The sequence below is a fragment of the Homo sapiens genome, chromosome 8 (genome assembly GCF_000001405.40).
Source record: "Homo sapiens chromosome 8, GRCh38.p14 Primary Assembly".
NCBI lineage: Eukaryota > Metazoa > Chordata > Mammalia > Primates > Hominidae > Homo > Homo sapiens.
This window is the reverse complement of record NC_000008.11, coordinates 73063688-73087794: the sequence shown is the minus strand read 5'-3', so window position 1 is coordinate 73087794 and position 24107 is coordinate 73063688. Positions and strand designations below refer to the sequence as shown.

Below are 24107 nucleotides of genomic sequence, written 5' to 3'. Positions count from 1 at the left end.
GGGTAATAATTAACCCAAGTGAAGCAGGACAAACATTGAATAGCCTATATGGGCTGGTGTCTTCTCCTAGATTTATGGAGAGTCTAGGAAACAAACTAGCCAAAGTCTGATGACATCATATCTGGAGGGAAAGAGGCACCATGCTTGAAAATATGGGCTCCAAACTCACCCAAAGGAAAGATGCCAGAGTCTACGATGATTTAGAGAGTTGAGGCTTTACAGGAACCAGAACAGTCTGAGAGACATCGCCTTTGGCTTTGAAGAAAAAAAACGAGCGGGGCCTGACTGGAGCCAGTATTCAAATGGACTTGACTTAGCAGAATTTGGCTGCGGCCCTGGGTGAGCAGTGAAGGAGGGTCAAGTTGTTAACACTTCACATTTCCTCCATACCAGGCGCTCTCCCAAGCACTTCACAGTTATTAACTTACTTGGATCCCTCAACCCGCTGATGTTAGTCCTCATTTTGGTCTCGTTTTACATACGAGGTAAGCAAGGCACAGACAGGTTGGGTAACTTGTCCAAAGTCACACCACTAATAACTGGTGTAGCGAGATTTGAACCCAGGTCATCCGGATCCAGAGGCCATACGTCAAAACATGATGTTTTTCTGCCTCAGAGAAATGAGGTCTTATGAGAAGCAGTGTGCTTTGCGGGGTAGGCCCCACATAAACACCAACAGAGTGAGCAAGGCTTCTCCCTCCATCTACTCAGGGCTCCTCGAGGGCAGAGTGTGTCTTGCCTGTCTGCATAAACTCCAATGGCTATCATGATGCTACTTAATAATGTTTGTCAAAAGAATGTGAGCAGTCGTCCCACCCATCCCCACCAGGTGATGTTATCCATGGCTTCAGACGGCACCGCCATCCAGGGTAGAGCCACATTTCCTCTATAAAAGATTTTCTTTCCTTAACTACAAAATATATGTTTGTTGCAGAAAATTTGGAAAATACAGAAATGCACAAAACAAGAAGGCAACTCACCTGGAAACCTGTTACCCAGAAAGAAAAAGTACTATTATCTTTTTTATTCATATCTTTTTTTCTCCTGGGTTACATAGTATATAAAATTCTATTTATCAAATGACACAGCCCATGTCATCTTGCTAGTACTTCAGGAACTAGCCAGTAAATGTCTCAAAAGGAAAAAAAACCCCTTTGGGGGCCAGATAACGTGGTTTCTGCAAGAGAGGGAGAAAAGTCTTGATCATTTTATTTGAGCTTTCTGAGGGAGTAATAGGCACTTGGGGAATGTAGTCTCATTTGGCTTTCAGAGAAGCTTTGACAAGGTTCTACGGAAAGAGGAATACACATGGAGAAAAAGAAAGGAAGATGATGGCCGGGCACGGTGGCTCATGCCTGTAATCCCAGCACTTCGGGAGGCCAAGGTGGAAGGATCACCTGAAGTCAGGAGTTCGAGACCAGCCTGACCAACATGGCAAAACCCCATCTCTACTAAAAATACAAAAAATTAGCCAGGCAGGGAGGTGCGCTCCTATAATCCCAGCTACTCGGGAGGCTGAAGCATGAGAATCTCTTGAACTCAGGAGGCGGAGGTTGCAGTGAGTCGAGATCACGCCATTGCACTCCAGCGTGGGTGACAGAGCAAGACTCCGTCTCCAAAAAAAAAAAGAAAAGGGAGATGATATATATTTAAATTTGTGTCACTATGAGGTGTGCATGTGTGGGTGTTGGGGGATAATAGGGCTGTTTTATTTTTCTTCCACAGAATGTGAAGAAACAATAGCTATGCATAAATGGGTACTGCTGTGGGTACGGTGTAAGAACATTTCCTTAGGAATGATTAGGACTATTTGAACTTAACGATGTGAGGGAGAAAGCACTTGTTTGTGGGTGGCCTTAAACTTTTAGATGGCAAAAAGCCAATAGGCAGGGCTAGATTACAAAGGAGAGTGCTTGAGTCTCTGTGATTAACCAAGGAGACACTGCTACATGAAAACAAGAACAAGGCCTCACCTCGAAGGAAAAATAGTCCAAACTCTCTTTATAAAATGAATGGCTCTGGCTGTCGGCTCATTTTGTTGTCTCTGTGTGCATGTATTTGACATCACCTAGAAAAGCATTTGAAAAAATATATATATTTTTAAATGACCCTTTGGTACCTAAAGGCTGAGAATAGGGTGTCTTGCTCTGGCTGGCACAACTCCTCGAGCTGCGAACAGACCTGGAGAAAGTCCAGTGGTAACTCCGAGATGAGAAGTGCCTAGAAAGATGGGTCCAAAAGCAGAAGACATGACCTTGGAGAGTCTGGCTGGGAGGAAAGGAGACCTCCCCAAACCATGAGTGGCACAGACCATGTCAGACCATGAGTGGCATAGAAAAGGTAAGCATGGATTTTTTTTTTTTTCACCATATTCTGAAATTCTTGAGTGAGGGAAATTTGGATCAAATGAAAGGAAATGCCATTTTGTGCCACAGATAATAAAAGTAAAGAAGCTTGTTACTTTCAAAATGTGGTCCTGGCAGGAGATATAAATAGATCAGAATGGATCTAAAGGACTTGTAGCTGCCAGGAGAAGCTTGGACCTACCTGATCTTAAGGCACAGAAAACAATGCTCCTTCTGATGGACACCCTTGGGGCCATTGCTGCCAGGAGAGCCCACACTCTGGGCCAGGCTAAGAATTCCCATGGGTTTGGCTGTGGGGGCTTCTGATTCACTCGTCTCCTTCCACCCCACTTCCTTCCTTTGCTGGAGCCTCCTTCAGCATTTTGGCTTCTAACTAATGATATGAGCAGATCAGAGTCTGTTTCAATGTAGAACATTATCTAGGGAGGAGGGGAAACATGCCCAATGCCATTTCATTCATTCATTCAATGAATATTATTAAGCACCTACCATGTGCCAAGCACCAGGAATGAAATAGAAAACTATCATGATCCTCAGGGGCATCAATAATAAACACAACAAATGAATAAGTAATTATGAATTATGGCAATGCTACAAGGTGAGGAACACCAAGCTCTGAGAGGAAATAAGTGTGTGTGTGTGTGTGTGTGTGTGTGTGTGTGTGTGTGTGTGTGTGTGTCTGTGTAGTGGGGCTAGGCGAAGACTAGAAAAAGCTGGCCAGAAAAAGACTCCCTGAAGAGGAAGTAGTTAGTCTGGGAGTTAAAGGGTGAGTGGGACCCAGCCATGCCCAGTGTAGGGAGAATATTCCCAGCAGAGTAAAAATGTGTACAACGGTCCCAGGGTGGGAAAGAGCTTGGTGTGTTCAAGGGGTAAAGAGGCCCATGTGGCTGAACTTGGAGCAGAGGTGGGCGGGGAAGTGCAGGTGGAAGTGGAAGGTCAGGCAGATGCCAGGTCACACAGGAACAGAACCTTGTAGGTCACAGCAGGGAGTTCAGATGTCAGATGAAATCCAAAGGAAATGAGGGAGTTTAAGTCATTTATACTTTTAAAAAATTAGTGATACATCTTTTAAAGTAATTGTACTTGGACGTGACTGGCTATCTCCATTAGGACTGTGAAAATGTGCTGCACTCTTGTGTGTGATTCATTACTGAGATATATAACTTATTCTCCTTTGGCTGTGGTAGGAATCTCTGATAACTGGAAAGGTCTTGAGAAAGGGGGACCAGTTGGTAAATGGGCAAGGACTTGATAATTTCTTGCACTCTGAATCTACATCCATTGTCTCACTCTCCAATGAGCTGAAAGCCAGGGGTGCCCCCCAGACCTTCAGCAGAGCTTTTAGCTTTTTTTATTTTCTGTCTGTGCTCTCTTCTGTCTCCCTCTCTGACTCTGTTCTCCACTCCTGTATGGTGCTTGAGATCACCTCACAAATAAATTACTTGCATTTAAATCCATGTCTCACAGGCTGCTTCTGGGGAGACCCAACCTGAATATTAGCTTGAGTTTAAACAAAGAAGAAAAGAAAACAGCAAGCTTACTGAGCTTCCTGGCACCCATTAAATCTAGGCTTTCTTCTCCTAAAAGGGGTGGATGATGTCATCAAATCCTAACTCTGAAGCAACTGAGAAGCTGTGACAAACTTGGAGTCAAAGGCCACCATGCCGCTCCTAGGTGCCACAGTCTATCGGCTCCATTAACAGCTGGTGAAACTCAAGTGAAGATTGAGAAGGTCAGATTGTAAAAAGAATATTTTGATATGCTGTGAATAGATGTGAGTTAGATAAGCTAGTGGGAAAGGGGACATGAATACTATTGGCATCGTCCAAAAGGAAATCTGTGTCAGGCAGCTGTAATAAATGACTTGAAATAAATCTGTCAGAGGTTTCCGTACTTCCCTTAACCTCCATGACCAAGATCTCTTGTGATCTATGATGGCTTGCAATCCAAATAATCAAAAGTTCACAAGCTAACCAACAATAGAATCTTTGGTGCAGTATAGGAATAAATACTTCTTAATTTATTTAATCTTCCGACGCAAAATATTTTGTGAAACACCTCTTTATTCCTATAATTCTGAGTGAGTGTTTTTTATTTTGTCTCATAATGAAGCTATTGAGATGTCATTGTTCTGGACCCTACAACTTTCTGATTCTCTTTATGGAGCTTTTAAAATCATGGATTGGAAAAACAGGATATAGTGTTTTGCTAAGGACAAACTTTAACGAATAGGAGCAACTTGATGCAATGATTGATTCTGTAATTTTGAGGACTTCAACTGTGAGACCAAACCGAATACAAGAAACAAATACTAGACAAGAGACACATATGACGATGGAATCCTGGGAGGCTAAGTTCAGTCAGAAAACCCTCCCCAGTGTCATCTTTTACCATAAGGACCAAGTCTAATTCAAGGCCATATTACTAAGTTCTGAGTTAATGCTATGGCAAAATTGTATTTTATAGTGATGTCCAAATGTTAATCTTTGAAACAAGTGCATTCTTTTTATGCAATATTAAGTGTTGTTCAAGCCCAACACCTCACAACAGGACTAGCTAGACTCAAGGCTGAAGGTGGAAGAAAAGAGGCATTGAAATAATGAAGGATAGAAGGAGTCCTTCTCAATCAGCTCGCAGCCTAGGAGATCTCTTTAAATGCTTTTTGGTTTGATGGGCCAATGAAATTATGAAATCAAGAAAATAAAAAGGGAAGGGCTAACAAGAGCCAACAAAAGCAGGAAGTGACCTGTTAGTGTTTTTCCAAAAGATGTATACATGGCAGATATTGGGAATGAACTGTAACGTGGCTTATTCTGGCTTCTTTAGGTAGTTGACATGTGATACCTGTGGGTATTTCATTGATGAATGAAAGCATGTTTTAAACTAGTATGGAAATTTTAAAATTACTGACATGTTTATGTTGCATGGGACCCTTTTTATGTCAGGGGTAGCTATGCACTGGCAAATCACATGTCCTCCAAAAACCGTGAATGCAGAAGTTCAAGTCAAGCTTTCAAAGAAGACAGAGTGCTAATTCTTGTGGGAAACATTATGAATTAGAAAGTGTGAGGATGATAGGAAAGCGGATCACACTTCAAGGGGAAAAAAATGTTTGGCATCTAGGTCATGGGCATGTCTTCTGTCTTCTGGTTCTTTCCTTATATTTAATTTTAAATCCTGAAATAATTCAATTTAAAAGTTGATTACAGTCTGAGATACATTAAAACTTTCAATGAGAAAGTTAAACGTGACGCCATATTGATTTTATGGTCATGGTGAGGAAATTGCATTTTTAAATTACATCTTCAGATTTGTTAAGTGGACTTCACAATCAAGGAAGGAGAATGGCTTTAGTTGTCCATCAGGGGAATCCCAGTATGTATTGCTGGACTCCAGGGAGCAGCCCAGTGCACGGCTGTTTGCTGAGAAACCAGCTGAGCCCCACACCGACCAAATCATGTGGAAAAGCATAGACCAACAGCACAAACAAGACTCCAGGCCCAGATTCTTGGCCTGACACTGCCTTTTCATGGGTGACCGTGAATACTCTTTATCTCTCTGGGCCCTGGTGGCTCATCTCTAAACTTCAGCCCTCATAGTTCATGAGTCTACAAGCCATGGAGAAAGAAAATAGAGTAAACAGGAGAAGCTTAGAGTATAGGGGTCCCTGTGCATGGCCCTAAGCCCTGTTTCTTATGAAGACACATTTGCTGAGAAGAATTGACCTGAGTAGGTGATGGGATTGTTGGTGGGTGAAGTACATTTTCTTTTTTATACTTTTTTTTTTGTTGTTTATGTTGTCTATGATGAGAATGTCTTGTTATAATAAAAATGTTATGGGCAGGGGCAGATAAAATTAATATCAAGGAAAAACAAAAGCAAATATCTGATCTCAGCCCAGGGAGTATGAGAAATTCCCCTGAAAGCATCCGTCTCATCTCCTTGGGTGTGTTTCCCTGGATCAGACCCACATTTAGGATCCCAGGGTATCCAGCTACTTCTAAGGGGTACCAGGTTATCAATTCACCATCGGGGTGGGCAGGTGGAATCAGTGTCATCTGGGACCTGCTGAGGCTTTGTGTGCGTCTCCTGATACAGGGCCTGGGGCCAGGCAAAGTTTACATGGAGCTAAACTCAGCTGTTTGTGTTGGCGGGAACAGCCTGCCAGCCTGGCGGGATTTACTCAGGTGAGCGTCCTATTGTGCTGTTTTTCAGCTCGCCCGTGCTTCGTGGGGGAATGGAGCCCCTGGAGTGGTTGTGCAGACCAGTGCAAGCCTACAACCCGTGTGCGGAGGCGCTCGGTGCAGCAGGAGCCTCAGAACGGCGGGGCGCCCTGCCCACCCCTGGAAGAGAGAGCTGGCTGCCTGGAGTACTCCACCCCGCAGGGCCAGGACTGCGGGCACACCTATGGTACTGATGTTTTCATGGTTGCTGCCTTTGTTATCTGTGATGACTTTTTGACCACTTCATCCTACAAAAGGCCATATGCTGTGCAGGGAAGGTTCCATGCACCACAGGGAGTGGTATGGGCCAGGCTGCCCAAAGTAGATAGGAAGCTCAGGAAATGCTTAATAAAGGAATTATGGCCAGCTGTGCAGACGCCTCCCTTTCCCTCACTTCCCTTGGTGTGTTTTATAATCCGATGGCCCATTCTCATTGTGCACGGACTCAGTAATGAAATAAACCGCATGCTTGTGGTTTTGAGTGAACTCAATCAAGCTGGTGATAAAGGACTTTAGATAGGAGGATGACATTTCACACAGCACAGTAAGAGTCCAGGAAGTATAACGCTATTTCACCTTCCACTGCAATTCCTGTTTCATTATGCACACTCACGCATGTGGAAAAATCGTGGAAAAATCACAGAATTCTAAACAATGATAAAGTGATTCTTTTATTATTATTATTATTTTTGAGACAGAGTCTCGCTCTGTCACCCAGGCTGGAGGGCAGTGGCATGATCTCGGCTCACTGCAAGCTCTGCCTCCTGGGTTCACGCCATTCTTCTGCCTCAGCCTCCCGAGTAGCTGGGACTACAGGCGCCTGCCACCACGCCCGGCTAATTTTTTGTATTTTTTAGTAGAGACGGGGTTTCACTGTGCTAGCCAGGATGGTCTCGATCTCCTGACCTTGTGATCCACCCGCCTCAGCCTCCCAAAGTGCTGGGATTACAGGCATGAGCCACTGCGCCCGGCCTTTTATTATTATTTTTTAATGATTCGTTTTACCTGCCCCTCCTCTCAAGACTGGATTGGGGCTAATGTAATTTGAAAAGATCACTCTGGTTTTGGAGTGGCCAATGGAGGGGCCAGGAATCGGCTCATTAATGAGCCAGAGACCATACAAGGCTCACAGAGAAATAAATGAAAAAGCTGATGTGTTGATCTGCATTGAATCCAATAGGGCAAAACACTGACTTCTCAGGATAGCAAAAACCATATGTTTCTCATAGGAACGTGGAAATTTCATGTCAACACAATCCTTGTCAAGCCATTTTGTTTCTTCTTTTTTTTCACACACAAATATTTATTGAGAGTCTACTTGATGCCAGGTGCTGGGCTGGCGCTGGGGTCACGATGGTTGATGTGGAGAAAAGTTGATGTGGAGCCTGCTGTCAGGTAGATCACAGCCTAGTGAGAGGGGTGCAATTATCAGATAATCCAGGGAATTAATGGATTTACAGCTGCAGTAATTGGTGCAGCTGGTAGCAAACGAGTGAGAGGTGCAGGGAGCTCTCAGCGGGTGTAATCAGGTGATTCCCCTCGGTCTTGGGGGAGAAGGAGGAGGAGGGGCTTTCCTGGAGATGGAGCTGAGGTATGTGGGGCTGAGGTGTGTGGGGCTGAGGTATGTGGGGCTGAGGTATGTGGGGCTGAGGTCTGTAGAGCTGCCCAGGCAGGCAGACTAGTGTGGTTAAACCTGATGGCCAGGTGTAGAGGGTTTGAGGGATTTGGGAGCTGATCAAGGGAAAAGCTATATCCATGAGAGGCAGTAGCACAGCGAAGTTTACTGGGCTGTGCTTGGACAGGGCTGCATGAGAGAGGACGTCCTCACAGCATGAGACTGTTCAGAGGCTTATGGTGGGCTGGGGAGGAGGGCACAGCAACTCCTGGGGGAGAGGGAGATTGGAAAGGGGCCTTAAATGTCAAGGTGAGGTCATCCAGCAGCACAGTGGGGAGTCTTTTGGTCAGAGACCTCAGAAGGGCAGCAGCATCTTGGGGTCTGATAACACAAGGCCTATCAGTGGCCAACAGATGCTGGGTATAGTTTCACAGGTGTGCAGGCAGGCAGGCCCTAATGGCTAAAAATCTGCCTGTTTGTCTATTTAAAAACAGTTGCATGTATAAAAAATTTGAGTTTTGTGCCAGCATGTTTGTGAGCTAAAGGGTCTCAGCCTAGGGTGAGGAATAAGCATCTTTGGCTCTTTTATGTAACATGGGGGAGCACAAGGCCTGCATGCGATTGGCAAAGGAAGGTCGGCATGTGGGGCGCACAGAGAACACCCTATTTGGGATTCTGGGCTTTATCTTAAGAGCCATTGGGGTGTTCTTTGCCGGGGAGAAGATCACTGTGGTAGTGGAGTGGCAAATGGAGGGGCCAGAGTGTTGTTCCCCCATTGATACGGTGGTCATATTAAGGTCACAGGGAGGTCATTCAGTGCTTCAGACGTGGTTGCTCACAGACACAGCCATAGAACAAAATTACGCTCAGTCACTTTGCAGAGACAGTACACAAACTGCTCGGGGAGGAAGACACTGTAGGACATTATGGATGTTTTTGGTGGATCTTAAAAGCTAGCGCCAACCTATCTGGAAAAGCAGCCCACCTACTCCTGTGCCATGCCTGACTGCTAGAGGGTTCCTTCAGCACATCGGGCTCTTCAGTGGGGCACCAGGCCATCGCACTCACCTTCTCAGCCCTGGGTCTCTACACCAGGACAATGCAGGAAGTTGTTAGAGACTGTGTCTTAACATATCTGTACTGAACAGCCTCCTTCCCTACTATCATAAAATAAAAGATGTCAGCTTGGGAAGAGAGGAGAAATCTCTACTCGAGGTAGGGCGGCTGGCATTTGCAGTCCTGACTTTGGTCCCCAGCATTCCCCTCCTGCTGGAGATGTCTTGGTGATGATTACTCCTGTCACAAGCTAGTTGGGGAAGACAGGACCCCTCCAGCAACCCTGTCTGATGATTCCTAACGGGTGGTCCTGGATCAGCAGCATCAGGATCTGGTTCCTCAGCCCCACCCAGACCCATGGGATCATAATCCCTGCATGTGGGCCCAGCACTCTGCATTCTAGCAAGGCTTCCAGGGGCTTCGGATGCTCACTGGAGTTTGAGAGCCACTGCTGTAGCCCAAGCGTGACAGAGGCCCCTCTGTCATAGCTGGGTCACCTAATCAGCACTTTCCTGAAGGCAGAAGTTCCCAGAGTATCCTCTTTTATTAGAATAGTTGTGCAAGAAAAGGGATTAGTAGGAAAATATGGGGTAAATCAGACAGTTTTCTCTACCAAAGAACTTTTCAGAGCCTTTATTATGTGGATCTGCATTTTCATTCCATAAGAGAGAGAGAGGATTTGCAGTGTCTTCCCACTTAATTTGATCATATGATCCCCTTTTCTATGGAGCGTCCCACTAAAATCATTCATGTGCTGTGGAATGATCTTTGAAAAATGATGGCTTACTAGAGGAAAACAAGAGGGACATGAGAGGCAATCACGTAAACATCCAATTTCGTGGATTCTCCATGGGCCCCAGGCCCTGTTTGGCTCCACGCACTAAGCATTCACTTATGTGTTTCATTAACTTAACACTCACTGAGCACCTCCTGTGTGTGCCAGCACTGTGCTAGGTTTTAGAGATCCAAACTTGATTAACAAACATATCACAGCTAAATAGAACTCACGGTGGTGAGCTCTGGGATAGAAGGAAACATAGGTTGGCGTGGGAGCATGGAGAAGAAGCCCACACTCAACCTGGAGGCTCTCATCCTGCTTCATGGTCACCTGTGTCCCTGTTACTGCCTTCCACCCCCACTAGACTTCCTGTTCGCAGATCAGGCGCCTTTGAGGCGCGGCACACGAATCCCTCATGTTTGCATAGCAGAGAGATCTTACAGGCATCATTGGTTCAGCCTTCATAGCAACCCCGTGAAGGAGTGTATTCATTTTCTACGGCTGCTGCTACAGATTACCCCAAATTTAGTGGCTTAAAACAACACAGATTAGGCCGGGTGTGCTGGCTCATGCCTGTAATCCCAGCACTTTGGGAGGTCGAGGTGAGTGGATCACCTGAGGTCAGGAGTTCGAGACCAGACTGACCAACATGGTGAAACCCCATCTCTACTAAAAATAAAATATTAGCTGGGTGTGGTGGCATATACCTGTAATCTTACCTACTTGGGAGGCTGAGGCAGGAGAATTGCTTGAACCTGGGAGGTGGAGGTTGCAGTGAGCCAAGATTGTGCCATTGCACTCCAGTCTGGGCAACAAGAGCGAAACTCTGTCTCAAAAAAACAAAACAAAAAACCCCACAGATTTATGATCTTACATTTCTGAAGATCAGAATCTGACATGGGTTTCCCCAGGCAAAAATGAAGGTGTCAGCTGGGCTACAGGCCTTTCTGGAGGCTCTAGGGGAGACTCTTCTTCCTTGCCTTTTCCACCTTCCAGAGGCTGCCCACATCCTTTCCTCACTGCCGCCGTCCTCCATCCTCATAGCTAGCAACAATGCATTTCTCGGTGCCTTTCTTCCGTTGCCACATCTTTTTTTTTTTCTTTTCATATAAGATGGAGTCTTGCCCTGTTGCCCAGGCTGGAGTGCAGTGGTGTGATCATGGCTCACTGCAACCTCTGCCTCCCAGGTTCAAGCGATTCTCCTGCCACAGCCTCCCGAGTAGCTGGGATTACAGGCGCGCACCAACACACCCGGCTAATTTTTGTATTTTTAGTAGAGATGGGGTTTCGCCCTGCTGGCCAAGTTCTGACCAGCTCTTTCTTAGGATCCTGTGATTACATTGGGTCCACCTGGAAAACCCAGGCTATGCTTCCTATTTTAAGGTCAGCTGAGCAGCAACCTTAATTCCACCTGTAACCTTAATTCTTTGTTCCCATGTAATATAACATATTCACAGATTCTGGGGATCAGGACATGGACATTCTTTGGGGGCCACAATTCTGCCTCCACAGAGAGGTAGGACAGAGTCATTATCCTTGGTTTACACCTGAGGACACTGGAGTTCTGAGAGGTGACAGCACGTGTGAAGGACTACTGGAACTAAAACCTGGATCTCCCGGCTCTAAGTCTTATGGGATTTTCCCACCTCAATAGTGTTTTGCTATTAACTGTCATCATTACAGCTAAAATTGTAATTACAGATTCTTGTAACTAAGTAGAAATATAAATGCCCGTGAAGCTAGTGAAGGAAACATGATCCCTGAAGCTCTCTTATTAATGACTGAGTAGCTATTTCCTTTTTCCTGTTTCATTTAATGCATACCATAATTATATTTTTATTATAAAAACAAATTTAAAAAGCCACATTACTGAATGTGTTGCACATCATTGACAATTGTTTATATATATGTGTTTTCCTCCTAAAAGGAGATCAATGTGCATTATTATAAACCATATGCCTCTAGGTAGATATTATTTGTCAATTTTTCATTTTACTCTCTTCTGTACTATAGACCAGTGATCCCAGGCCTGCTTTTGTGACACCCCATTGTGTCAGAGGGCGTTATGAAATTCTCAAAGCAAATTTAATTTACTTTCATGTTCAAAGTAAGTATATGCAATGCCCTGCTTTTAGAAGTGGAAGTTGTTGTAAAACCAAACAATGGGAGGCTGATAGAACGCCAGAAACATTGGCAAATCGCCTGTGAACAAAGAATATATTGCACTTGAATACTGTTGCCAGGAAGGGGAACTTAGATTTATTGGGGGCCTTTGTCCCAGGGATGCTGGGTTACGTGCTTCCGCACATTAGCAGAAGTGTGGCGGGAGGCAAAAATAATTTCTAAGTTATTTCATTACTTAAGTAATGAAAAGTGAATTTGGGGGGGGTGTATTAAAAAGTGATGCTGGTTCTGGGACCTCCAGGCAGTCTGGCTCATGTGAGAGGGACCTTGGCAATAGAATGTGCCACCACCAAGCCCAAGGCCTGGGGACAGCCCTGGGTACCTGGCTTGCTCTTAGGATGCACCCTAATCCCAAGAGCATGAAACTGAGCTTGATAGAAAGTCCTGAAAAACAGATGGGCCAAGCTTGGTGGCAGATGCCTGTAATCCTAGCACTTTGGGAAGCCAAGGCAGAAGGATTGCTTGGGCCCCAGAAGACCAGCCTGGAAAACAGAGTGAGACCCCATCTCTACCACAAACAGAAAATGGAAAACAAAAATGCAAACCCCCAAGCCCTCAGAAGATAGCTTCTGTGCTGGGTCCTTGCTTAGTCACTTACTACTTATTTTCCCTTCATTTAACCTCGGTGAGCCTCAGTTTTCTGATGAATGAAATTGGTATAACACCCTTTTACAAAGTTTTTGTTGAAGGTAACACATGATGTGAAATTACTTTGTAAATGAGCAGGCTATACACATACCAGGGGCCATGGTACCCAGAGGGTGACCCTGCACCCACTGTGTGCCCTCCCTGGCCTCCTTACCTCTCTCATGGACTGAGGTGACTCCAGATACAAGGGGCTAAAAGTTTCTCTTTTCCTTTCTTAAATCTGACTTCACATAGAGCATAATGATTCGTGACAGAAAGGGAAAATAAAGCCAAATTTAAATAATTCATGGGAAAGATGCTGCAAACAGTACTGGAACTTTGTCATCTATATTATTACAGAGGCAGTGGAGTGCCGCCCTGAGGAGTTTGATTTCGGAGACGTTGCCTGGCTGTGCTATATTTAGATGTGAGCCTTAAACACATTTCTTAACCTCTCTGTGCCATAATTTTCTTGTCTGTGAAATGGGGAAATAATAGGATCTATCTCAAGAGGCTTGTGAGAATTAAATAAATTAATACCTGAAAAGTGACTTAGAGTTGTCCCTGGAAACTTAGAAGTGCGTATTTTTATTATTATAGAACCTTTTCCAAGAATTTTGTATCAGAAACTAGAATCATATATTTATGTTTTCCTTCCACTTCATAGCCTCTTTTTCTGAGCTATACATTAAGTACCTTGCCTTTGAACTTTTGTAATGATATATGCAGTACAAATTTGATTACATAAATATCTGAGCTAAAGAATCCCCAAAAAATTACAGGTGGACTTGTGTAATGCTGCATGGATTTAGCAGTAAATTGATTCTTCACTTAGTGAAGAAACACATATGTGTGTCTGAAGAACAGAAATGAAAATGTATGGGAGAATTAAATCCTTTAGATGTTTGTGTTTCTGATAATTAGGTCTCAGAGAAACAGAGAGGGATCCTGATATACATGCACTCTCTTGTTCTTTCTAATTCTGTCTGTAGATCTTAGAAATGCAAACGCTACAGTCACATTTAGAAAACAATTAAACATGTCAGTGCAGCAAAAAAGAGCCACACAGGAACAAGTGGCTACCCGGTATTAGGCAGCTGCTCTTGTCTGTTTTTTTTTGTTTTTGTTTTTGTTTTTTTTTTTTGAGATGGTCTTACTCTGTTGCCCAGGCTGCAGTGCAGTGGTGTGATCTCGGCTCACTGCAGCCCCCACCTCCTGGGTTCAAGTGATTTTCCCAGCCTCCCGAACAGATGGGTCTATGGCCGAATGCCACAAAATCTGGCTCATTTTTGTAAAATTTTTAGTAGAGACAGGGTTTCACCATGTTGGCCAGGCTGGTCTTGATCTCCTGGCCTCAAGTGAGCTGCCTGCCTTGGGCTTCCAAAGTGCTGGGATTACAGGCATGAGCCACTGTGCCTGGCCTTTTGTCTTAAATTCCCTAGTAATACAAAAATAACTCCTCATTAAGAAAAGCTCAAAAAGAGTTAAGGTTTGTCATCTTGGGATAGTAAAGAGACAGGTAAAATCAACATGTAGGCTTCAAGCATCTATTTTGCAACCAGTATCCTCACATTGTTGAGTTCATGTTGATGATGACTTTGGCGTCTCATAAGTTGATATCAGCTTGTATCTACCCTTCCTGGAATCGCGCAGTTTCTGAAACAGAGGTAGAGGACTGCTGAGCCATCTTGGCTGCAAGGCTCAGTATAGGAACGGAAGACTGCAGGGAAGTAGGGCCTGTGTGTCTTGGCTGCAAGCCCATGACCTCATTCATTCACTCACTGGCCCATTTATTCCTTGCACAAATATTTATTGAGTGTGTAAATGTGTGAAGCTATAGTGATGGACAAGGCAAAACCCTGCCTTCCTCAAGATGACAACAGAGTCAGTCCAGGAGACTGACACCTATAGGTGTTATTATAGCAACAAATGCCTCCCTAGACTTAGTGATGAGGTAGAGAGGAGACACACAAACACAATAGAATTAAAGTGAGCAGAGACAGGAGGAAGGATTCTTGGTGCCATTTTTTTTTCTCTGACCCAGAGCATCAGAGTTGGGGGAGGGTTGTGGGGAGGAAGAGGGAAAAGAAGGGGACCACTGAAGACTTTCTTTCCCTGAGCTGGTGTGGGGACAATGCTGTGCAGGCTGGCACTGGGCAGCCACATTGATACTATGTGGTGGGCAGAGCTTCCATGAACTTTTCCTGCTGTGGTTACCTGAGGCTTGGGGAAGACTCACCTTCTTTCCTCCTCTGCTTCTTCTGCCTTTTTCTTTTTGAGACGGAGTTTCACTCTTTTGCTCAGGCTGGAGTGCAGGGGCGCGATGTCGGCTCACTGAAACCTCCGCCTCCCGGGTTCAAGTGATTCTCCTGCCTCAGCCTCCTGAGTAGCTGGGATTACAGGCACTTGCCACCACGCCCGGCTAATTTTTGTATTTTTAGTAGAGACAGGGTTTTGCCATGTTGGCCAGGCTGATTTTGAACTCCTGACCTCAGATGATCCACCCACCATGGCCTCCCACACTGCTGGGATTACAGGCATGAGCCAACACGCCAGCTGCTTTTTTCCTTTCTCATTTTTTTCTCTGTTTGTCTGTTTTCTCTCCTTCCATCCGCTTTTACTCTCTTTTGTCTTCTCTCTATCCTTCTTTGTTTCCTTTCTATTCTTTTATTATCTTATTTCTCCCTTTCTTTCTCTATTTCTCTTCCTTTCATTTTTGAAACCTCCTCTTCTCTTCATGCTCTCTATTATCTCACTTTTTCCCTTGTTCCCCTTCTGACCCCCATCTTCCTTTCCTTCTGGTTTTTCCTCCTGGCCCCTCTCCTTCCTCTCACACAGTTTTATTACTGCAGACAAATGTGCTTGTCAAAGGCCTGCAGGCCCCCTCCCTACCGATCTGTGTGCACACACATCTTTATTGAATTTGTAACTTGGCCTCATTTCACACCTTGATGGTGTGCCGTAGCCCTGTGAGTTTAGGAATGGAGACCCTTAGACAGGTACAAAACCAAAATTGGGAAACGATGGTCTGAGTACTTTGGCTCCCTGAATTCAACAGAAATCTCCCTTTTCCAGTTCCTGCCTTTATAACTACCTCTGCATTCAACAAGGAGAGAACACGACAAGCTACGTCTCCACACTGGTCTACACACACAGAGGATGCTGGGTAATTTCGTGTTTTTTTTTTTTTTTAATCATGTTTTTCAATTGTATAGTCAAGTCAATGCAAGAGGGTCAACTTGGTTTATGTTTTCTTCTTCTTTCTACTTGCTCTTTGACTTTGGCTAAAATATGGACTCTTCATCAGAGTTGGGAAAATACTTGTCCCCTCCTGGTTTTTGTGGAGCTATAAAGATATATCTACCTCTTAGGTCCAATCTTCAACAAGAAACAAACTATATACAAATGAGATTATTTTGTGAGCTTATTTTATCAATCATACTAAGGATGCTTCTCTTACAGTCTTTATGGGACGTTAGACTTCAGCACCACCTCTGTTTGGTGAATTTGAAAGTGACACACACTTCAACTCAGAGGTTTCTTATGGAAACCTATTGGTACAGGCTGGAAGTCACCTTCACGCTCAGCTGAAATCCATTCTTCTGCTGTCAGATAAGGGATACCAGACAGCTGCACGCTCAGGTCCCCACACTGCCCTCACTAGCATAAGACCTTGAACAACTTGTTCCACCTCAGTTTTTTCTTCCTAAAAAATGAGACTGTTAATAACCTACCACATGAGGTTGGTATGAGCATTTAATGAGAAAATAACATTGAAGAGATGCCTGAGGCTGGGCCTGGTTGCTCATACCTGTAACCTCAGTGCCTTGGGAGGCTGGAGCAGGAGGATTGCTTGAGCCCAGGGGTTTGAGACCAGCCAGGGCAACATAGTGAGAACCCCATCTCTATGAAAAATAAATACTTTTTTAAAAAGAGCTGTCTGGGCTTAGCTCTCTGAAATTGATTGAAGCCACATTGTAGGATTTCTTACCTCAATAACTAAAGATACTTGTTACCTTTAGTTACTAATTAGCTGTACCTATCATTCTTAAAGATCTTTAAAGCAGATTCTCCAAACACTTCCCATTTATAACATATTGCAACTCATAATTGTATGGGTAAGAAATTAGCCCATGGAACTGAAAATGCCACAAGTTTCTGTTACAATACTCGGAGATTTTACTATGTCTTGTTTCCCTGAAGAATTGGAAAACTGCACTGAAGTACAAATTTCTAAAATATTCCTCATGTCTGGATGTTCCCCTGGGCTTTCAGTGTCCAGTCACATATAATGTTAGAGTTTTCCGCAGCTCAGTTTAAGGTGACACTAACTTCTGTCAGAAAAGTGTGTCTCAGCCTCCCACTTCTGCTTTCACCTGCGATGCCCAATGTAACTGTGATAATTGACTTCAAGTCAAAACTCATCATCATTACTCCAGACCATACAAGTGAGGTGGGTGGAGAGGGTGGGGAAGATCCCGGGTACTTTCGTGGAGCAGAACAGCAGAGGTGCTGACCTAGGTGTTAAGGGCTAGCCCTCCTGGGCTCACATTTTTAGGGTTCTCAGGCTCAAGCAAGTGCTTGTTCAATTTATAGAATTCCTTTAGATCAGCAAAATTATCAAGGACTGGGTTTCTACAAAAACCTGGACTTCTGTGCACAATTTAGTGATCTGATTAGACAGGATACAGGATATCCAAACTTCTGCACATTTATATTGCCCAGAGAGCTCAATGATGGACTGAAAAAGGGCACAAAGGTTCTTTGTGATTATCAGTAATATTTCACCATGCTTCAGGGAATGAGAAACCTTAAAGGTGATTGACACGTAACTTGTGAAGATGTACTCACTACCTGCTCCAGTCGGCCAAATGCCCTTGGAGGTGACAGGCTTTCTAAGACTTTCTACAGCTTTAGGCCACTGCTCATTACAGCAAGTGTCATTGTTACTTCTTTTGCTGTAGATACTGTATGGAGTTTAAGACAGAGTCCTTGACTCCTCACTGTGCTCTGGAAAACTGGCCCTTGACTAGATGGATGCAGTATCTCCGAGAGGGATACACGGTGTGTGTGGATTGTCAGCCTCCAGCTATGAACTCTGTGAGCCTTCGTTGTTCTGGAGATGGCCTGGACTCCGATGGGTAAGAATGGAAATTAACTGAAGTACTTTTCTTGTCACTCATTCTGAGAAATCTGTCCTCTCCATGTCCAGACAGCTGACCAGTATGTAACATATCAAGGGATGACTGGGAAGTCAAAACAGTAGGTGAGGAGGACCATCCTCTGGCACTGCCTGGGGCCAGGGCTCCAGTTCCCACTATGGAACCCACAGGCCCTATACACCAGCAGTTAATATGGGTCCATTTGGACATTGGGGGCTGGGAGTGGTGGCTCATGCCTGTAATCCCAGCACTTTGGGAGGCCGAGGTGGGTAGACTGCTTGAGCTCAGGAGTTGGGACCAGCCTGGACAACATGGTAAAACCCCATGTCTACAAAAAATAAAAAATTAGCCTGGCATGGTGGCGCATGCCTGTAGTCTCAGCTACTGGGGAGGATCACTTGAGTCCAGGAGGCGGAGGTTGCAGTGATCCAAGATTGCACCACTGCACTCTGGCATGGGTGATAGAGCCAGACTCTGTCTCCAGAAGAAAAAAAAAAAGGATATTGGAGTTTAGATCACATTCCCAAATGATCACCAAAAACCTGATCACTCCAAAGTGGTGTTCTGAAGATCACTAGAATCAGAATCTCGTGAGATGGAGATGTAAAATGTGCAGATTCCTGAACCTCATTTCCGACTAACTGAATCACTCTTTGGAGGTGGATTTTTAAAAATGTCTTAGGTCAGGATCCAGAAAACCTTTTCTGTAAAGGGCCAGAGAGTAGATATTTTTGACTTTGCAGGCTGTGTGGTCTCTGTGACAACCCCTCAACTCTGACTTTGTAGCAGGAAAACAGTCACAGACACTATGCAAACCTTGGATTTGTTCTAACAAAACTTTATTTATGGACCCTAAAATTTGAATTTCGTATAATTTTCATGTGTCACAAAATATCATTATTGTTTTGATTTTAACACTTTAAAACATAAAAATTATTCTTAACTCACAGTCCAGACACAAAGAAGGGGTAGGCCGGCTTTGGCCTCTACGGGGTCCTAGTTTGGGGACCCCTGCCCAGGTAATTCATACCCACGATGAAGTTTCAGAACTGTTGCTCAATGGGGCTTCTTCATAAAACCCTGACTGAGACAGTGGTGGGGTCACCTCTGCGGTATAATAATCTTATATAAATCTGTAGATTTCTCTGAAATAATTGACTCCAAAAACATTTTACAGTCATGCACCTGTATCCCAGTTCTGCACTTATTTAGTGTTTAAATTTGATAACACTATACAAAACTAAAAGAAGAGTCAACTTCGTGCTGGGCAACTATTGGGCAAAGACTAATTTAGGTCACACATAGATTATGGTTTTCAGTATGTCAGGTGTAACTGGTAGAAATACAGATTAAAAGGTAAAATATGGGCCTTTCCAGTCAATTATTATTCCTGTAGAATGTTTTCATATTTAATAACTAGAATTTATGTTTATTAGTCACTAGTGCCTCATGGCCTCCATTGAGCACACCATAAGAACAATAAAGTGGGTAAGGAATTTATATCAAATAGAAAATATTTACATAATATTTTTCTGAATACCTCATCCATGTTTTGGTTTTAAATGAATTTATAATTTAATTTGTACCCATATAGTATTTAAACCCTGGCTGAGGTAGCAGTGACTTTAAAAATAATAATTTTAATAATCTGGCTTTGTTCTTTTCAGCTCTCTCATTGTTTTTTCATTATGAAATCAGAGTTGGAAAGCAGTAAAAGAGATCATTTAGTTCAGACCTCCCAGTTTAAATACACATAGAACAGTCAGCCATTTTCCTTTATGCAGCACTTGTGCTCAGATAGAACGGGAAAAGCAAATACAGTAACCCCAAGTTACTCTGTCAACATGAGGGTGTCCTAAAGTAGCAATGAATTAAAACTTGCTTTGACAGAAACTAAACAAGGGAAACTCTGTTTGTGATCATTAAAAAAAAAATTGGGGAACCGGGTGCAGTGGGTCATGTTTCTAATCCCAGCGTGAGCCAGGAGGCCGAGGCAGGAGGATCCCTTGCACCCAGGAGTTTGAGATCAGCTTGGCAACACAGTTAAACTCCATCCCTACAAATAATTTTTCTTTATAAAAATTAGCCAGACGTGGTGGCATGCACCTGTGGACCCAGCCTCCCAAGACCATAGGCGTGTGCCACCATGTCTGGCTAATTAGAAAAAAAAAAAAACTATATATATATATATATAGTAGAGACGGGGTTTCACTATATTGCTCAGGCTGTGATCAGTTTTTTTTAACTCCGAGTTTTAATTCTGTAAATTAGACCTTTCTTCGGTATGCTTTTAGTGTAACTAACACTTTCGAAATATCGTTTCAGAAATCAGACTCTCCATTGGCAAGCAATTGGTAATCCTCGGTGTCAAGGAACTTGGAAAAAAGTTCGGCGAGTAGACCAGTGTTCTTGTCCAGCTGTTCACAGTTTTATTTTTATATAGATGGTGATATAAATATTTCCAAATGCATTTGTAAACATTCTAAATATTCTCAAGTCATGTTCAATGTTTCCTAAACCTTCAATTTTGGCCAAAGTCCCCAAACACATCATTGCCACACTCTGAAGTAGAGAAAGAAAATTTAGGGGCCAGTTCTCAAGGAACACAGGTCCTTTATTTTTATTTTAACTAAGTTGAAGACCCACTCAAAAAGCTCTTGTGGTTTTATGTTCTTGACCTTTCAACTGGAGTCCTCTCATTCAGCAGGTGGCCCGTGAGACACAGAATACATGTCTGTTTGCTAAAGTAAAATTACTGTAACTCAGTCCGATTATTGGTGACGGAAGTGTCATTTAAGGGGATCTATGTTTTGAACCTTGCAGTCTATTTTATAATCTTTTAAAAGTTTCTCACTTTAAAACATGTATACAGGTATGCACACTCTACACATATATTTCCATATATTTAATATTCCATAAATTCTGAAATAATTTCAAGCAAATTATCACAAATAATTTTTCCACAGGGCAAATTATTTAAAATTTTAGTAAGCATTCTGTAATGAAAAACCAAGTTATACTAAAAACATTTTTTGAAGAAGAAATTTTTTTTTTGCTTAAGAAGTGAAAGGATCAAATGCTCATTGTAGGTCAATGGGAGTTCTTTTAAATGTTATAATTTTCATGAAAAGAAATGTTGACACCAGTGAATGAAACAATTGCTTTCATTCTGAAAATTCTACCACCATTTGCATCTAAGATTATTTCCAAGGCTTAAAGCCTGAAGCTGAATAAAATAATCTTTCAGAGTCCAGCTTCAAGTTTAGTTGATGTAAGCTCACTATTTTTTTCCTACCGCATGCATTTTCTAATGTTTGGGGTGGATGGTGTGTCGGTTATGGAAGGCATAGACGTCATTACAGGTGCTACGATCTCACACACACACAAGGAAATGTTAGTCTCCTTATTTTATGATTGGAAAATCAATGACCTAGAGGCAAAATGGCATGTTTAAGGACCTGGGATGACAAGTCATTCTGCAGTCAGCCACAGAGCCAAATTTGGACTCCTCAACCAGAACTCCATGAAAAGCCTGACTTTGCCAAACACTGTGCTGGAAAAGCTAAGCCCCTTTCATTTGTGAAGTAAATTTTAAATTCAAGATATTTAGTTTAGAGAATTGAGTCTTGAGATGTAAACTACATGAGATTTCTTTGGTTTCAATTGAATAATATTCACTAACAAATGATTTACTAAAATACGTATTTCTTGGTCCTTATCATGTAATGACAGATTCACAACAGCAATAAGGATGGAGATTTCCCCAATAATTAATAACACCGAGAGTAGCAATATTTTTTACTGTATTTTCATTTAATTGTCAAAGTTGTTTTTGTGGAAAATTAAATTCTTCAGAAATTAATAATAAAATATGTGAGTCTCATCAAGGCTAGCAACTTTAAGTCAGTATTAACATTTTCATACTGTTTCTAACATTTATTAAGCTAGATTTTTGAAGCTATGTCTGGGTAATTTCCAATGTTACTTAAAAGTTTTTTTTTCTTTGAGACAGAGTCTCACTCTGTTGCCCAGGCTGGAGTGCAGTGGCCCCATCTCGGCTCACTGCAAGCTCCGCCTCCCGGGTTCACGCCATTCTTCTGCCTCAGCCTCCCAAGTAGCTGGGACTACAGGCGCCGTCATCACGCCTGGCTAATTTTTTGTTTTTTTTTTTTAGTAGAGACAGGGTTTCACTGTGTTAGCCAGGGTGGTCTCGATCTCCTGACCTCGTGATCCACCCACCTCGGCCTCCCAAGGTGCTGGGATTATGGGCGTGAGCCACTGCGCCTGGCCTGTTACTTAAAATTTTTATACTAGTAAATAAACTTTTTGTTCACATTTATAAAAGCTCTATATTTGTTTGACTAGAAAATAACCCAAATTTTCTGGACCAGTCAGAGAATGATAAAATTTCACCAAAAATAAAACAAAAAAATCCTTCAGAACTGATAGGTATAGGTACAACAACTACTAATAGCAATAAAGCAATGGTGCTTTTATAGTTCCGATATGTGTTATAACATTTAACATAATTGAGGTGTATAAAATAAATTTTTCACCTTATGCATTTAATTTTTGGTGGATGACCAGTAATTGCTTTCTTATTGAAGTTAAATTTTTGTTATTTCTATTCTTGAGAAAATTTTATGGGCTAGAGGAGTTAACTGTTAAATAACAGTTTTGAAAAGCTTGTTATTAATTTTAGCAAAGCCCAAGGGAAATAGTTCAGAACTGAAACATGTAGTCCAAGTGATGAATGAAAAACCAAAAGTTTTTATTTTCAAATTTAAAAATCAAAGTATATAAGACCTCTTGGCACTCTTTTTTAATAAGTACCTTAGTCTTAGGGCCCTATCCCCAGGCACTCTAAAAAGATTTACGAACTCTAAAATCCCTTAATAGACTGATTTTCAAAAGTGCTCATGGAAAATAATTCGAACAAAAATAAATACAGCCACCAGGAAAGAAGGGAAAAGAAGCAAGGGATAATGGCCATTTTTGAAGAGAAAAGTGAAAAACAAGTGAAGGAAAAAAAGAATAGAAAAAGGAATAAGGTAACTATAATCACAGTATTCTTTTTGGAGTTTTGCTTTGGTTTTTATTCGAGAATGTTACAATTAAGCATAAACCGCAACAGCAATAATTTAAAGTGTTTGGTTATCATCTGGCATAAAAATTTCAGTTAGCTATCTTTTCTAGATGTGCACAAAATTGATGTTAATAAAACTGGTTCCTGCCCTCTAAGAATATTCTAGTGAAGGTTCATACAAACAACCACAAGTTGGCTTAGAAAACAAACACCTGGGCCTTCTGAGGTCCAAGCAATCAGACAAAGAGCACCGTGAGGGAGGTCACACTCTAGGTCAGGGTGAAAGACAGACAGACACACGTTTACCCTCTCTCCTTCCTCATATCCCACTGAAGAGACACGATTCACAGAAGAGAATAAGTCCACAGCAGATGAGAAGTGAGGTGGGCAGAATCAGCCTACAGTTCGAATAATTTTTTTTACGATTGAAAGCAAATGATAACCTATGATAGATGAACCAGAATAAAGGGGCCATATCCTTTAATACGGGGTACAGAAGAAGCTGGAATCAGAGATGAGAGCCATTCTTGGTGGGGCAGTCCCACCAAGCACCAAAGGATGAATAAAAAGACTCTCAGCCCTAGAGACAAATTTGTGAAATTGAAAATGAAGGATAAAGAAAAGACCATATAACCTTCCAGAGAGAGAACAACAGATTACCTGTAAAGGAACAGGAGTCCCCATGAAGACAGCACTCTTCTCATCAGCATCAGTGCATGCTTAACATCTAACAGAAGAAAGCCTCCAAGCTCTGAGGGAAAATGAATGTGAAACTAACATTCGATAGCAGCCATCACTAATAAAGTGTGAAAGTAACATACAGACTTTTAAAAGCACAAGGATCGGAAGCTTTATTAAAAGGTCCTAAGCAGGACATTCTTTTTTCTGGTTAAACATGGCAGGTTGGACACATATATTTATGTCCCAATTCCCAATAAAATTACAGTTAAGGGATTTTCAAAGCCATCCCCCCACCAAAACAACAACAAAGCCCATATATAATGAGGAGT

General features: G+C 42.7%; 1 protein-coding gene across 5 annotated transcripts in view; it reads left to right on the top strand.

The window, feature by feature from the left end:
* Positions 1-23252, top strand: part of SBSPON (somatomedin B and thrombospondin type 1 domain containing) — a 28630-nt gene extending 5378 nt beyond the window's left edge. The window contains exons 1-6 of one of the 5 annotated variants that reach the window (XM_047421408.1): positions 1670-2340; positions 6582-6776; positions 12052-12145; positions 15925-16015; positions 17814-17990; positions 20337-23252. In XM_047421408.1, coding sequence (XP_047277364.1) covers positions 2323-2340; positions 6582-6776; positions 12052-12145; positions 15925-16015; positions 17814-17990; positions 20337-20454 — 693 coding nt within the window. In that variant the 5' untranslated portion in view covers positions 1670-2322 and the 3' untranslated portion in view covers positions 20455-23252. Of the gene's footprint in view, positions 1-1669; positions 2341-6581; positions 6777-12051; positions 12146-13209; positions 13277-15924; positions 16016-17813; positions 17991-20336 lie in introns of those variants that run through there. The other 4 variants (XM_017013145.2, XR_928762.3, NM_153225.4 and 1 more) reach the window with 4 other exon arrangements.
* The last annotated feature ends 855 nt before the right edge of the window (positions 23253-24107 follow it).